The following is a 15,984-nucleotide window of genomic DNA, read 5'->3' as shown; positions in this document are numbered from 1 at the left end:
TCGTTACTCAAAATTGTTCAACATGTGAGCATCCCACAGTTTATTTATGCATTCCATAATTCTCGTATTTAAGTAGTTTCCAGTTTGGGACTACTCTGACTATAACTGGACACGTCTTTGGGTGAACATATTTATGCATCTCTGGTGACACATACTCAGGATGGGTTTGCTGGGCCACAGGACAGGTAGATTGTATTAATACTAATTTGCTTGGGCTACCACAACAGAGTACCTTAGACTGGATAACAACAGACATTGATTTTCTTACAATTCTGGGGATTAGAAATCTGAGATCTAGGTGTCTGTAGAGGTGGTCTCTCCTTAGGCCTCTCTCCTTTGCTTGTAGATGGCTGTCTTCTCCCTGTGTCCTCATATGGTCTTCCCTCTGTGCATGTCTGTGTCCAAATTTCCTCTTCTTATAAGAACATCAGTCATACTGGATTAGTGCCTATCCTAATCACCTCGTTTTAATTTAATTACCTCTTTAAAGTTCGTATCTCTGACAGGCACGGTGGCTAACACCTGTAATCCCAGCGCTTTGGGAGGCCAAGGCAGGAGGATCACTTGAGGCCGAGAGTTCAAAACCAGCCTGGGCAACAGAGTGAGACTCCATCTTTACAAAAAAAAAAAAAAAAAAACTTTTTTTTAATTAGCCAGGCATGGTGGACAGAGCGAGACCCTGTGGGGGTTAGGATTTCAACATAAGAATTTTGCGGGGAGTGGACACAATTCATTCCATAACACATATGTTCAGCTTTAGTAGAGTCTCCCAGTGCCGCCAAGTGGTTGTACCAGTTAACACTCCTTCCAGGAGTCAAAGGGAGTTCTAATTGTTCCACATCCTCCCCAAATACTTGATATTTTGTGTGTTTTAAATAAATCTTCCTTAAACATAAGCTCCAAATTTTTGTTTGTTTGTTTTGAGGCAGTCTTGTTCTATCACCAGACTGGAGTGCAGTGCCATGATCTCAGCTCACTGCGACCTCCGACTCCTGGACTCAAGCAATTCCCCTGCCTCAGCCTCCCAAGTAGCTGGGACTTACAGGCATGCACCACCATGCCTAGCTAATTTTTTTTTTTTTTTTGTAGACATGGGGTTTCACCATGTTGACCAGGATGGTCTTGATCTCCTGACCTTGTGATCCGCCTGCCTCAGCCTCCCAAAGTGCTGAGATTACAGGCATGAGCCACCGCACCTGGCCAATCTCCCAACTTTTATATGCTCTTGATATGGCTGAGGGTCAAGATAATGGAACTGGTTTTCACACCACCTCCCTTGCAAACCTTGTCTGGTAGTCGTCTACCTTCTTTCAGTATGTGGCATCTGTTGCCTTCAAGTCTCAGGGAAACTTTCCTTCGAACAGCATGTGAGAGAGTTCTAGAATTTTTGCTTGTTTTTAATGCCATTACGCAAAAATAAGCTGACAATGTTTGTATGATTCATTTTATTTTTGAAATTTGTCCCTTCTCCGGCATTTCAAGAGTAATTCACATCAAAAAGAAGATGGTAACAGAAATCTCTAAGCAGTTAGATCTCTTCATTCTGATGTTGGGACTGCAGCTCTCAGGGGGAAACCTGGTAATAACTCCATTCAGCAGATGCTGCCCCCACCAACCAGCACCCCCTAGAAGTTTCTAACAGTCCCACAGTGGTGGACGCTTCTTCAGCCTGCAGCAGTTTTTCCTTCCTCAGCCCCTTCCTAGGTGGGTAGTTCAGCTTTGGGTTCCCTCCACTGTCCCTAATGGGAGGCTTCTGGAAGTTTTTTTTTCTAACCTTCTGATGGCATCTAAAATGCTGTGAGGTTTATTCCAAAATAACTATTTTAAGACACTTATCCCGAGCCCTCAAGGAACCACATATGAGTAACAAGTCTATGTTTCATCACTCTCACTTCCCATGATCCCATTCCCAGTGCCTAATTCATGACAGAATCCATGGCTCTCTCTTGGCTCAGAGAAACTTCTTCACCCCACAGATGCCTTACAAAGGATAAGGTGATGGATCTCTCACTCTCTCCTGGGAAAATCTAAACTCAGGAATTTAGGAGATCTGGGGGAAGCTATTCATGCAAATTAGGGTAATTGCCTATAATTTCAAGGTGAATATCTATATTGACCTGATATTTTGATATGTGGTTAAGTTTATCTTTAGGTTTCAGAGTTTTAAAACTCGAACACAGGAATGAGACTTTGCACTTTTTGGGAATTTTGTTATTGTTATTTCAGATGAGCTACAAAAAGCAGTTGAGAAATTAACAGCATTCACCAAAAGCAAATGGCAGTGGTTCCATGTGAGCATGTCTCCATAAGAATGAAACACCAAGCCAGTCCTCTAAAGCTTTTGGTCAGAAAACAGAGGAAAAGAATCTTTCCAAGAGGCGAGATAACATAGTTATCAACTAAGTATGAGTAGGAAGACACTAGGTAAATATGTACGTGAAGTTAGTTTTATTATTCTACTTACTGCATAAGGCAGAAATAAAAAGTTTTTAAGAAGTTTCTTTTCTTTAAAAAGAACGCTGTTGGACATTTGTCCCAGAAAAAATAAAAACCTATGTTCATACAAAAACCTGTATAATAATGTTCATAGCCGCTTTATTTGTAATAGCCGAAGACTGGAAACAATCCAATATCCTTCAGTGGGTGTAAGGTTATCCTTCAGTGGGTGTAAGGATGTACAGTGGTACATCCACACCATGGCATATCATTTTGCAACAGAAAGGAACAAACTACTGAAACATGGCAACAAACTGGAAAAATCTCAAGGGAATTATGCTGAGTGGAGAAAAAGCCAATTTCAAAAGGTTATATACTCTATGATTCTATGTGCATAACATTCTTGAAATAACAAAATTATAGAGATGGCAAAAAAAATTATTGGTTGCCAGGGGTCAGGGATGGTGAGTGAGGGATGGATGTGGCTATGAAAGTATAGCACAAGGAAATCCTGTAGGTAATGGAACAGCTCTGTATCTTTGTTACACAAAGCCACATATGTGATAAAATTTCATAGAAATACACACACACATACAAACACACACACAAGTGCTTGTAAAATTGATTGATTATATAAATGTGAGTTTCTTCATTTTGATACACACAGGACCTCCCTGTACACTTATCTGAAACTTCCTGTGAGTCTATAATTATTTCAAAATAAAAAGTTAAAAAAAGAAGAAAGCTGGTATATTTTATATCTTCAGGTTTCCACTGGCAACCACTGAGTCACATTACCCTGCTTAACAAATGGTATTTCCATTTTATTTTATGCTATAGAATTTATGAATTAAAATAGTTTAGCAGATACAGAAAAAATATATAGAAAATGCCAAGCCTATATTTGTTCCTTGATTTTAAGTTAATGAGGATAGTGAGATCTGAAATTAGGAACATTTAAAGATGTTTAGAATTACACTTTATTTTACATTTGAGCAAGATTAAAGACACAAATCACCTCCTCAAGAACCTTTACTTTAAATATCTTTCAAGTAAAAATTCAGAATTATTCATCAGCATGAGATCCCCCCATCTCCTCTCTCCCTCTACACACACACACATACACACACACAAGCACATGTCAAAAAATAGCCAAATTTCAATACTAGATAATCACCAAATTTCTATCAGAAATGAAAACCTTTATGCATTTCAGCGTTTTTTCTTTCCATTAAATCATAGAAACCAGGGTAAATATTTCAGACTTAGGAAAAAATGCAATAATGGGATCACAGGAGATGTTCTCTTCAGAGGTATATAAACTAACTGTCTCTGGTTCACTTCTACCCCCAGCCACCACTATCTGCTTGGAGGAACCATATTGCTTTTTTTAGTCTCTTGTTACACATTCTGTCTGCTATACCGAAAGGTCCCAATATAGCATGCTTTCTATAGACAGAAAGAATTCTTTGTTAATTTCCACATACTTCTTGATAAACTTTAGCACTTTGGGGTTGCCAATAGAGTCACTGCAGGTAGGTACCTGCAGGAAAGGAGGAGGGAAGATTGGCAGGTCTCACATTCACATCCTGGAGGAACTCCAAAACGACCACTGCAGCTGTTGCTTTGTACGTGGCCAAGTGGAGAAATACAAGTGAGGAAAATCCAGAATAAGTTATCTCAAAGTATAAATTATCAAGTTGCCATCAGGTTATATAATTTTCCTCCCTGCTGCTCTCACAACTGCATGCCATCAGAGTTTTGAACTAATATGTCAATATAGGGGCATAACGTGGCTTATATTCCACATGGATTTCTAGTTTGGATGTGTGAGTGTTTAGAAGAGAAAATTCCTTCCTTAAATCCCACAGCAGATATGTGACAGAGAGGGCATCTCTTAAATACTTCCATTAATGGTTTTGTACCAGTGGCTCTTGATGGAGGGAAAACTCCAATTTTGAGACCTATGTAATATAATCTCCTCTTTGTGGATGCAAATTCTCAGTTTTTCTATGGTTGTCTCCCTACCAATGTGGTTTAGTCATCTTAAGAAAGGACAAGATTCCTTAGTAGTAACTATGGGAATACTGTTATTTCATTTAATACCAAGTCAAGGTAACTAAGCTTCCCTTGCTCAGTCTCTGTGTCATCTATGAGTTTAGTCTGGGAAGATCAGGGATTTTGAAGTTAGCCCTTTGAACTTAGCTCTGATTCTTACTAGATGATTCTTACTTGGACTCACTATTAACCTTTCTAAACCTCAATTTCCTCAATTGCACACTTTAGATAAAATCATTATCCAAAAGGTTGTTGTATTAGATATAACACATTAAAAATACAGAGAGCCTGTCCTGCATGGATATTCACTCTACAAGTGGTTTAATAAAAGCTGTAGTTGGAGATGGCCATGGTGGGGATGGTAGAACCATATTTAAATGAGGAGGAGAAAAGACTACCCCATATCAAATGATATTCTAAGACAATATATAAATAAATGTTGTAAAGACTATAAGAGTTTAGACAACAGAACAAAAGAGAAGAGGAAGTGGCCCTGTAAATATTCATGAGATGGGACATGATCTGGGTCTGGAGGGATGTGAAGATCAGAGGCATGGAGGGGATGAGGATGGCCTTTCAAGTAAAAATCAGCAACAGAGGCTGGAACTGACAGATTTTGTCTATGAACTTCTGAAGCATTCAGAGACAGGCATAGTGTAGAGCAGCAGTCAGAGGGTGTTTATATTTGATGCAAGAACAGATAAACAGCCAAAAGCTCTGCAAAGCTATATAACATGATAAAAGTAGCAATTGCTAAAGGTTAAGAGAGCACTGCAGGGTGTGTAGGGAAAGGGAGAGACCTCTACATGGTGATTAAAATAATCCAGATATGAGATGGTGAAAATGTGTAAAGGTGTAGTGATCCCAGGAATGAAGAGGAAATAGCAAGATGTGGGCACATTTCTAAGGCAAAATAAGATTGAGGAGGCCAACTGATGTCAAGCCCAAATATGAGAAGAATCACAGGATGGTAGTAAAGACGGAACACTGAAGAGAAGATACATAATTAACTGCCTTTTGGACCTACTGAGTGTGAGGTCATAGTAAAATATAAAACCAGCAATAATTGACACTGTTGGAGATATGATTGGAGGTGTTTAAGGGAATTAATTAGAGAAAAAGCCTTCGTGATCAAAAAAGGATGGTGATTATTGAAATCAAGTGAAAGGGTAGCTTTTCCAGGGAGAGAAAATAAAGAGCTGAGGAAAACAGAGTTTCTGAGAAGGATGGGTGTGCTGCAGAGACGGAAGAAGAAAAATAAGCCAACTAAGAAAACCAAAAAGAACATTCTTTTCTGAGAGACTTAATAAGGCCAAGGCCACTACATAGACTCCAAGTGCATATGAGCCTCAGAATTTATGTCTTGTTTTCAATCACCTAGACCTGCTTCAAAGTTCATCTGAAACTTTGGATAAGCCTAGCATAACTATATGTTACAGAGATGCTCTAAACAGGGATCAGCAAACTTTCTATAAAGGGCTAGATAGTAAGTGTTTCGTGCTTTGTAGGCCAGAGAGTTTCTGTTGCCATGACTCAACTCTGCTGTGGTAGCACAAAAGCAACCACAGACATATGTAAATGAATATGTGCTTGGCTGTGTTCTAATAAAACTTTATTCATAAAAAAAGGTAGTGGGTTAGATTTGGCCACAGGCCATAGTTTGCTAACCCTTGCTCTCAAATGTATATGACCCTAACCCAAGTTTCATTTTTTTTCTTCAGAAATCCTTTTATCATATAAGGAAGCAATACTGCAATAAAAAGAGCAAGGATTTCGAAGGCTGCAGATTTTCCCTGCAGTCTGATAACAGCTACTAGGCTCTGTATCAGATGCTTTGAGCAGTTTGCTAAATCTTTCTGAGCCTCACCTTTGTACTTGTAAAATGAGACTAATTACCCTGACTTCATAGAGCTGTTGTGAGAATTAATGAGGTAACAGAGAACATTTAGTGTATTGTGGAGACTAGCCAAATGCTTATTCCTATAAACATGCATTAAAATCTTTCTACTATGTCATAGGTGCCATTCAAGATACAGAGGATACAAAGATAAAAAGATACAGACCCTGCCCTCAACAAACTATCTATCTGGTAGGAATATTAGTTAGGGCTCAGGTGAAGGAAATAGAAACCACATGAGTTATTTTCAGCAGAAAGTAGTTAATATAGGGAATTAGATGCTTAGGAAATTGTTGGAAGCGCTAGAGGAAGTCCAAGTTCTTTGCTGGCATTCTAGAAATGACTTCTGAACAAGACCACCCGTCTGACATTGTGAGGACAGCAACTCTCTCTCTGCCTCAACAAGAGAAGGTAGGCATTCAGGAGAATCCTAGGGAAATCATTGAAGTCAAGAGCATACCCACCTTAGCAGTGATCCAGGGATCAGAAAACCACCAGCATTGCAACTGCCTCTGGATACCCATGTAGTCCTGGCTGTTCCTCAGAGCTCTGCCACAGAAAACTCAGTGTCTTTCACAGCTGTGGATGTGCAGCCTCCACCTCACTTTCTCTATCCAAATCTCAAAAAAGACAATCTAATTTGCTGAACCTACAATCTAGCTGCAAAGGAGTCTTGCAAATTTAGTTTTTGGCTTTACAGCCTCTTCAGTACAATAAGGCACACTAGAGACAGACTGGAATAGATACTGAACACCACATACTCATCAAGGTAGAAAAGCAAGCAGATAAACCAACAATATTAGGTCTGAGGCATGAGTGGAAAAAAAAGGAGACCAAACAAAGGAAACAGCACAAAGGAAGGAGTGATTTTTTTGTGTGATTAGAGAGGCAATATCTGGGGTTGAAGGATGAATAGAGTCTAAAGAGGCACATAGAAGAAAAACATTCTAAGCAGGAAAAACAGCATCAGCAAAAGTGTTAGTGCCTCTTCCTGTCCTCATTCTTGAAAGTGACAACAAACATCTTGGGTGTCAATTTCCTGTTCTATAAGGAAAGTAGGGGAAGCTGTAAAGCTTTCTTTCCTTTAATAATTATTAAGTACCTTCAATGGTCTCTGCAACCAGAGAGTATGTTTAAAGAATGCAGGTCTGTTTTGTGTCATGGATACAGGAATATGCTGAGAGGAGCACAGTAGGGAGAGAGGAATTAATGTCCTTAAGCATGAGCATAAATTGTGGCAACACAAGACAGAAAATATGGGACTAATGTCATCAGAGACCCAGGAGCTAAGTGAAGATGGTAAGGGAGGCCTTCATGGAATTTTTAAGAGAAGGAGTAGAATTCTAAGCAAAGATAACTCTGTAAGCAAAGGCCTATAGGTTGGATTTTTTAGGCTTCTGAATATATAAGGGAGTAGTCATATTCAAGTCTGAAAAAAGAACTTAGGAATAATCCTTTAAGTACTAAAAGCAGATCTACCATTTGATTCAGCAATCCCACTACTGGGTATCTACCCAGAGGAAAAGAAGTCATTATATGAAAAAGATACTTGCACATGCATATTTGTAAGAGCACAATTCACAATTGCAAAAATATGGAACTGGCCCAAATGCCCGTCAATCAACAAGTGGATAAATAAAATGTGATAATACACATACACACACACACACACACACACACACATATATATCTCAAATATATATATACACCATTGAATACTACTCAGCCATAAGAAAGAACGAAATAATGGCATTTGCAGCAACCTGGATGGAATTAGAGACCATTATTCTAAGTGAAGTAACTCAGGAATGGAAAACCAAACATTGTATGTTCTCACTCATAAGTGGGAGTTAAGTTATGAGGATACAAAGGCAGAAGAATAATACAATGGACTTTGGGGACTCAGGAGAAAGGGTGGAAAGAGGGTGAGGGATACAAGACTACACTTTGGGTGCAGTGTACACTGCTCAGGTGATGGGTGCACCAAAATCTCAGAAATTTCCACTAAAGAACTTATTCATGTAAACAAACACCACCTGTTCCCCAAAAACCTATTGAAATAATAATAATAAAAGATTTAGGAATCAAGAAAGATCTTATCCTTGAAGTCTTTGTATTACCTAAAATTTGGGCTTTTCCTAGAAGTAATCATTTGAATTATATTGATTATTTCCAGAAGCATGACCATAATCAAAATAAATTTTAAGAACATTTATAGGATGGTGTGACAAGCAGGGTGCAGAATAAAATGGGGAGAGGCTGGAGGCGTGTTAAGCAGCTATTAGAACTTGCCATCTGTGCAGTAGAGGGGTCTGAACTAAGTTGTGATGGAGAAAGTAAAAAAAAAAAGTCATGTGTACAACATATTCCTTTTTGAAATGGAAGGCATTTTTTTCTGATTCAAGCCTGAAAAATAAGTAACATCGACTTTTCGACATCTTTATTTTCAAGAATTTTACTCACACATTTAGCTGGGAAAATATTGTGTGATGATGGCCCTGATGCCTGGTAGAAGGAGTGAGTATTGCTCATATCTCAGCACCAACATTTACCGGTTCTGCTGGGGTCAATTACTTAATTTCTGAAATTCATTTTCCTCCCTGCAAAATGGGAGTGAAGCAGTGCCTAATGCATAGGGTAGTTGTGGAAATTAAATAAGATCATTTATGTAAAGTTCTCAGCACAACACCTTGCATATAATAAGTGCTCATACAGTAAGTGTCTTGGTATCATTGCCATCGTCATCATCACCATCATCACAATTATTATGTGAGGAAGGTGAAATGAGGGGGTGTAGAAGAGTGGAAAGAGGAAGACTTCAGAGCCAAACAGCCTGTATCAGGTTCCCAGCAAGAAACAAATGGAACGCTCAAATGAGTGAGTGATTTGGAGAATTTAATGAAGAAATGACTATGTTTACAAAATGAAGGACAAGCTGTAGAGAAACAAAAGGTTAGCATACTACCTCATCCTAGCTAGAGAGGAAAACAGGAATTACCAGTTATCAGCATGAGGCCTGATGTTCTCTCTAGCAGAAGGGGAACAGTTACAGGAACTTGGAAGAAAACAGTCACGTGGAAAGAGGGCTGTCATAAGGGCTGTGACCTTTGGTCAAGGGCAGCAGCCATGGCCACCTACAGTGAAGGAGGCCGGGGGAAGAAATACCCTGACCTCGCCTTTCTCCTTCTTTCCAGTCTTCTCCCAGCACTTCACATTGGCAGAACCCAACCCAAACAAAAGCCAGAGGCAGAGCATCCCTCTGTACAGGTCAGCATCTAGGAGCGCAAAGCACGATGAACAAGTGTATAGAGCCAAACTGTACAGAGGAATAAACAGAATGTATTTAGCACACACACCCCCAGCTTTGAAGCTGCATTGTAACTTTAGGCAAATTGCTTAATTTCTCTGAGCCTCAGGTTGCTCACTGTAAAACAAGGGTAACAATAATAATTATGCAGGTTTATTGTAGGCATAAACTAAGTTGATGTCTGAATTATGCCTAGCAGAGCCCCAGGCATGTGGTAGACATCAATTAATGTTCTCTAATCCCACCCCCAGCTGATGACAGCTCTCTTCACTTGTGGCTGCTTTACAGCATTTATGAGCTTCCCAGAAGCAATGTTTCTCATCATGTGGTCCATAGACCATGTGCTTTAGAGGCACCTGGGGTCCTTTTGAACAGATAGCTTATGGCCCCCACCGCATCCAACTAAATCATGAGTGGAAGGATATGAATCTTCATTTCAGACAAATTTCCCCAAATGATTTTCACACACAACAACATTTGGGAGCCACCATTCCAGAAGTCCACATTTCTAATTGACACCCACTTGAATAAAGTATAGGTGAGATTTATGTATGCTTGGCAGTCATTAGGTGCAGTTACAGCCCATCAGCTCCATGAAGAGGGGCTAGCAGACTAGGACACTAATGGCCTTTCTTGTGATGTTAGGTCATGCTGGTTCTCCATTTTACTGACTTTATTAATACCCAAGGAACAATGTTCCCAGGCTTTTAATTAAAAATTCCCTAACATTCAGGCTTTAATCATTTTCTAGGTTGGATATCAGCTTGGTCAGTGGCCAGATCTTACCCTGCTTTCAGAGAAAACTTAGTAGGCAAAGCAGAAGCTCTTAAAAGGAATAAAGCTTTTTGAAAGCTTCACAGATGAGGATACGTCAATTCTAAGTATAAACAGGAGAAGGCAAAAACTTAGGATAAGATCGGAAGATCAAGGACCTTGCTTTAATGAAGTAAGGAAAGGTACCAGAAAGTTCATCAGCAGTCTAGGACAGACACAGAGCTCATGATTTGGATCCTGAATCGGTTAGGATTCAGCTGCAATAAGCACAGACTCAAAATAGCAGCAGCTTAGACAAAAGAGAATTTTATTTGCTGCTCATGTAAAATTGCAGAGGTAGGAAGAGCAGGGCTGGGGTGGTGGCTTTACTCCACAGAGTTCTCAAGGACTCAGGTTCCTTCTAGCTTTTGGTCCTGCCCTCCTTAGAATGAAGTCCTTGTTCTCATGTTCCAGGATGGAACTCCAGTGGTCACATTTATGCTCCAAGCCACAGGAAGAAGAGGGGAAGAAGTACAGAGGGTATGGAACAGCTGACTTTTAAAGAAGGTTTAGAGTCATCCATCCAGCACATCTGATTCCATCACTTTTGCCAGAACTTGTTCACATGGCCATGCTAAACTACAAAAGAGGCTGAGAGGCAGAATCACAGCTAAATATTCATATTAGATGGATTATATATTGAGGACAACCAGGAGTCACTACCACAGGTTCTATGGCCTAAGAAACTTTGAAACTTCTTTCTCCAGTAGAAGATTCATCAGTGAGGTTCTAGTCAGGAACACAGATGCCACTCCAAGTGTTTTTAAAAGAAGGAACATAATGGAAGGAATTGACAGCACAAATGATAAAAGAGCTGAATATTGAAACTTCAAAACTGAGGCAGCCCAGAAATTAGCAACAGTAGGAAGTTTCTACCTTCCCTGAAGCTGGAAGGACAAAGGACAAGGCAGAACCTCGAAGTAACAGGCTGCCTGGCAGAACTTGGAACCCAGTGGACTGTTGTAGTAGGAGCTGGAACCAGGAGGAGATGCAGCCACTGCCAAAGACGCCACCAGAAGCAAAGTGATATATAGAGAGGGATATTCCCTCTTCTGTCCCTCGGCCTCCTTCCAATGCTTCACATTGGCTAAAACTACCTGGAAGGTGTAGCGCAAGGGAGTCTAGGCAATGTCATCCCAGGCAAACAGAGTAGGCAAAGAAGGAAAAAGCACTGATCTAAAAGCAAACAGGTGAGTGACTGGAGCAACACCCAAACCCAAGTTGTGGACCTGGATAGATTAGTAATCACTGGGACCTTTCTAGACATTATTTCTGGATGAAGTTGATACATTTGTAAAGCAAAAGAGTGTCCTTCTGTGGAAAGCAGGGACTCAAACAGATACTGGTACACCAATGTTCACAGCAGCATTATTCACAATAGACAAAAGGTGGAAACAGCCCAAATGTCCATCAACAGACAAATGGGTAAACAATATGTGGTATATACATACAATTAAATATTCAGCCATAAAAAGAAATAAAAGTCTGATTCATGCTATAACAGAGAGAAATCTTGAAAACATGCTATGTGAAATAAACCAGATACAAAAGGACAAATATGATTCCACTTATATGAGGTACCTAGGTTAGGCAAATTGATGGAAATGGAAGGTAGAATAGAGCTTGTCTGGGGCTGGAGATTAGGGAGCAATGGAGAATAATTATTTAACAGGTTCAGAGTTTCTACTTGGGATAAAAAAGTCCTGAAAAGGGATAGCAATGATGGTGGCACAACACTGTGAACGTACTTAATGCCACTGAACTGGACTTTTTTTTTTTTTTTTTTTTTTTTTTTTTTTGACAGGGAGTCACTTTTGCCCAGGCTGTAGTGCAGTGGTGCGATCTTGGCTCACTGCAACCTCCGCCTCCCGGGTTCAAGCAATTTTTGTGCCTCCGCCTCCCGAGTAGCTGGGATTATGGGCGCCCACCACCACACCTGTCTAATTTTTGTATTTTTGATAGAGACAGGGTTTTACAATGTTGGCCAGGCTGGTTTTGAACTCCTGATTTCAAGTGATGCATCCGCCTCAGCCTCCCAAAGTGCTGGGATTACAGGTATGAGCCACTGCACCTGGCCTGAGCTGTACATTTTTAAAAGGTTAAAATAGTACTTTTTAAGTTTTAAAAAGTTTATATTTATTTGTGTATTTATTTATTTATTTATTTATTTATTTATTTATTTATGAGATGGAGTCTCGTTCTGTTGCCCAGGCTGGAGTGCAGTGGCACAATCTCAGCTCACTGCAACCTCCACCTCCCGGGTTCACGCCATTCCCCTGCCTCAGCCTCCCGAGTATCTGGGACTACAGGCGCACACCACCACTCCCGGGTAATTTTTTTGTATTTTTAGTAGAGACGGGGTTTCACCGTGTTAACCAGGATGGTCTCGATCTCCTGACCTCATGATCCACCCGGCTCAGCCTCCAAAGTGCTGCGATTACAGGCGTGAGCCACTGGATAAGTCATTTTTAAAAAGAGGTTCTTATGCTTTTCAAATGTATTTACTGATTGAAAAATGCTTCTGGAGAAGATGAATATTGGTAATGAAATAATAGAAGCTGACTAATGGACAAAACAGTGGGATCAAAAGACTAGGAAGACTTAAAGACCAAAGCAAAACCCATCTCTGTTTCTAAAAATTGTTGTGACATTTCAAAACACTTTCTCACAGAAGAAATATTATCTCCCCATCTCCCAAACTGAGCTTGATATGACCATGAAGCATAAGCATAACTTAGTGTGAGAAAGCGAAGGCAAAATAAAAAATTCAGGAAGAATCGAGTGTCCTCTCTTTATAGGGAGCACCTGAAGACTTGGAATAGGTAGCTTCACCAAAGAATAGGAGAAGAGCGGAGAACCCGGGCCCACAAGGCATCCTTTGAAGGATGAAGACAACTAGGAAGGCTCGATTTCTGGGTACCATGTGAACAGAGAATAGAGGGGAGTCAGGGAATACTCAGCTGTGTCAAAAGCAGCCCATAAATGTCATCGAGGATAAGCACTCGAAGATCGTTGTCGGGCTTTTATAGCCAACAATGCAGAAGGTCATTGCCTGCTTGGCTAAGACCATTTCTGTGAAAAGAAGAGGATTTTAAACTGGAATGGGATGAGTAGAGCAGCCTTTTCTGCATTTCTTCCTTTGCTGGCTCAAGAGAAGCAGAAACAAACCCTATTCCCAGAACTATGCTGACAACATTGATGATGGCAGCACACAAATTAGGAGGTAAACAAAACGCCATGTTAATTTCAGGCTCCATTAGAAACACAGTCAGGAAAAAAAAAAGTCAACGTCTGCCAAACAGAAAAGGTCAAAATTAGAAGAGAAAGAAATTTTGTTTTTGCGATCCTAAGAAGGCCCTGCCAACAATGAAGACAGAGGAGGATTTTGTTTCCTCTTTCTCTTTTGTCAATCGTAGAATTCTGAAACAAATGCTCTTGGTAATGCCTCTCTAATCAGATACGTGAAGTAGAATATGGGCTGCATGTTCTTTCTTCCGGTAAATGAAACCATACAGTATTTGGGATATCACCACAGGATTCCATTCCAGAACTGTCTTCTATCTGTCCCTAATGTACAGTTGTTGTTCTTGTTTATAAGAACCTCCAGTAATGCTTATGACTTTGGCAGGATGCATAAGTACCATTCATTTGAAGACTCCACAGCTTAAGTTGTCTCTGACATGAAATTGGCACAACGTGTCTAAGAGACCTCAGGCCCTTTAATCCCTTTGTAGAATGTGTTGCATGCTCCAGATCAAGTCCAGGAAATGCACACATATCCTTCTCTTGCTTTCCTGTGTTGAAGGGGATGATACACAAATGAAAACATATCTTTTGTAAGTTATTTTTAATGTGACGGCAGTGAGCATTCTGGGTCTTTGATGATGGATGAGTCTTCACTTGTAAATTTAAAGCCATATGTATTAACTTAGTTTCCTTCCAGGCATTTAGTATTAGTGAATATCACATACGGCTTTATAATGCTCCAATAACAGATGCCTAGTTGCACTTTGATTTAATATATGCTGGGAGAAAAGATATATGAGAATTTCACTATAATTTTTTGCCTAGATAATAGGTCAGAGGTTCTATCCCACCTGGAGGTAAAGGATTGGTCTTACTGATTTCTTGGACTTCTCTCTGGATTTTATGAGTCTATGCTATCTTTTTCCCAGAAGCATTAAGTTTGAAGACTCAATCACCAAGTGCAATCAAAGCTACCTTTCCTCCCCCCAAAATTAAATAGACATTTTTAAACACACATACACATTTCAAGATCAACAGAGTTCCCTTTTGAGCATGGAAATATAGCCATTGCTAAATTACGTTACTGGACTGAACTCCAGGTATTAGTTACAGTGGAAAGTAAGAGATTGTAGGAGACTCTTTTCTTAGAACCAGGACATGGATTATGGCCTGGATTTAATTAACTGTTGCTCATGGCACCATGCAGGCTGACATTTAATTATATTCAGTTTAGCCCTTTATTATATATCCTCTCGTTATTCTCCAAATGTTCTAAATATCCTGGTCTTGTTTTATCTAGCTCTGTTGTAAGCTCTTTGAAATCAGAGCTAATGTCACACAGTACATACTCAATAAACACATTATAAATGAATTTATGAGCAAAGAACTAAATGAATGTGGCTACAAATTCGAGATGCTACTGTTCACAATACAAGATGCGACCTTAACAATTCAAGAAAAGTGAACAACTGAAGGTGAGGGGGTTTCCCTGTTGTTCCCTGAAAGGCATCCAAATTCTCCTGAAGCTCCCATGAATAAGATGGAGGTTTAATTTTTCTCTCTTTGGTCCTCTGCTCTTTTAATCTGCTCCAGCAAAAAAAAAAAAAAAAAAAAAAAAACTCTCAAAGATCTGGCGCTAGAAAATGTTGTGAAGAGTTTTACCTGAATCTAGTATCTGTGTATTTATATACTGGTCTTATTATTGTCCCTAGCCCGAGCTTTCTAAATTTTCTCAGTTTTCACTGCCATCTTCTCAGTGTATTATCTTTGCCTTCTTTGTGACAGCCTATTAAGATACCTGTTTGAAATGAGATGTTTCTAAAATACTGGTCATGGACTCTACCTGTAAGGAATTTCTGTAAGAATAACATAAAGAATTAGTAGCAATGATTCCATCTGAGAAGTGTAGAAATGCAGAAGAGGAGAATGTTGACTTTTATTCTGTATTCATCCATATGGATCACTTCTGTTCAGGAGCCTGTAAGACTTTCATAATTTAAAAACTAATAAAAAATAAAATATATCCATCACGACAGATGTCATTTTAGCAGTTCTGAAGAATAATTCATGAACTATTAAGGCAGTTTGCCTATGCATACATTTACCATAAACAGAAGTACAACTTGATTGTTTTAAGAGACAACGCTTAATGAATCTAGTCCTCCAGCTTTCAGAGCAACTTGTGGGTGTCCATGATTAAGTACTGGTTAGTGATTCATCCTGGCAT

General features: G+C 39.6%; 1 protein-coding gene and 1 long non-coding RNA gene across 13 annotated transcripts in view; one reads left to right on the top strand and one right to left on the bottom strand.

Moving 5' to 3' along the window:
- The window catches only part of SAMD12 (sterile alpha motif domain containing 12), a 490,139-nt gene that overhangs the window by 304,509 nt on the left and 169,646 nt on the right, over nucleotides 1-15,984 (top strand). The gene's annotated exons all lie outside the window — the stretch shown is intronic.
- Nucleotides 1-15,984, bottom strand: part of LOC105375724 (uncharacterized) — a 141,651-nt gene that overhangs the window by 105,579 nt on the left and 20,088 nt on the right. For 4 of the 6 annotated variants that reach the window (XR_001746056.2, XR_007061073.1, XR_001746063.3 and 1 more), the window contains one exon: nucleotides 1,431-15,341. The exons of the other annotated variants lie outside the window; for them this stretch is intronic. This is a non-coding gene — a long non-coding RNA (uncharacterized LOC105375724). Of the gene's footprint in view, nucleotides 1-1,430; nucleotides 15,342-15,984 lie in introns of those variants that run through there. 6 annotated transcript variants of the gene reach the window in all.

Source organism: Homo sapiens, chromosome 8 (genome assembly GCF_000001405.40).
Source record: "Homo sapiens chromosome 8, GRCh38.p14 Primary Assembly".
NCBI classification, from domain to species: Eukaryota; Metazoa; Chordata; class Mammalia; order Primates; family Hominidae; genus Homo; species Homo sapiens.
The sequence above is the reverse complement of the archived record's forward strand: the minus strand, read 5'-3'. Positions and strand labels throughout refer to the sequence as shown.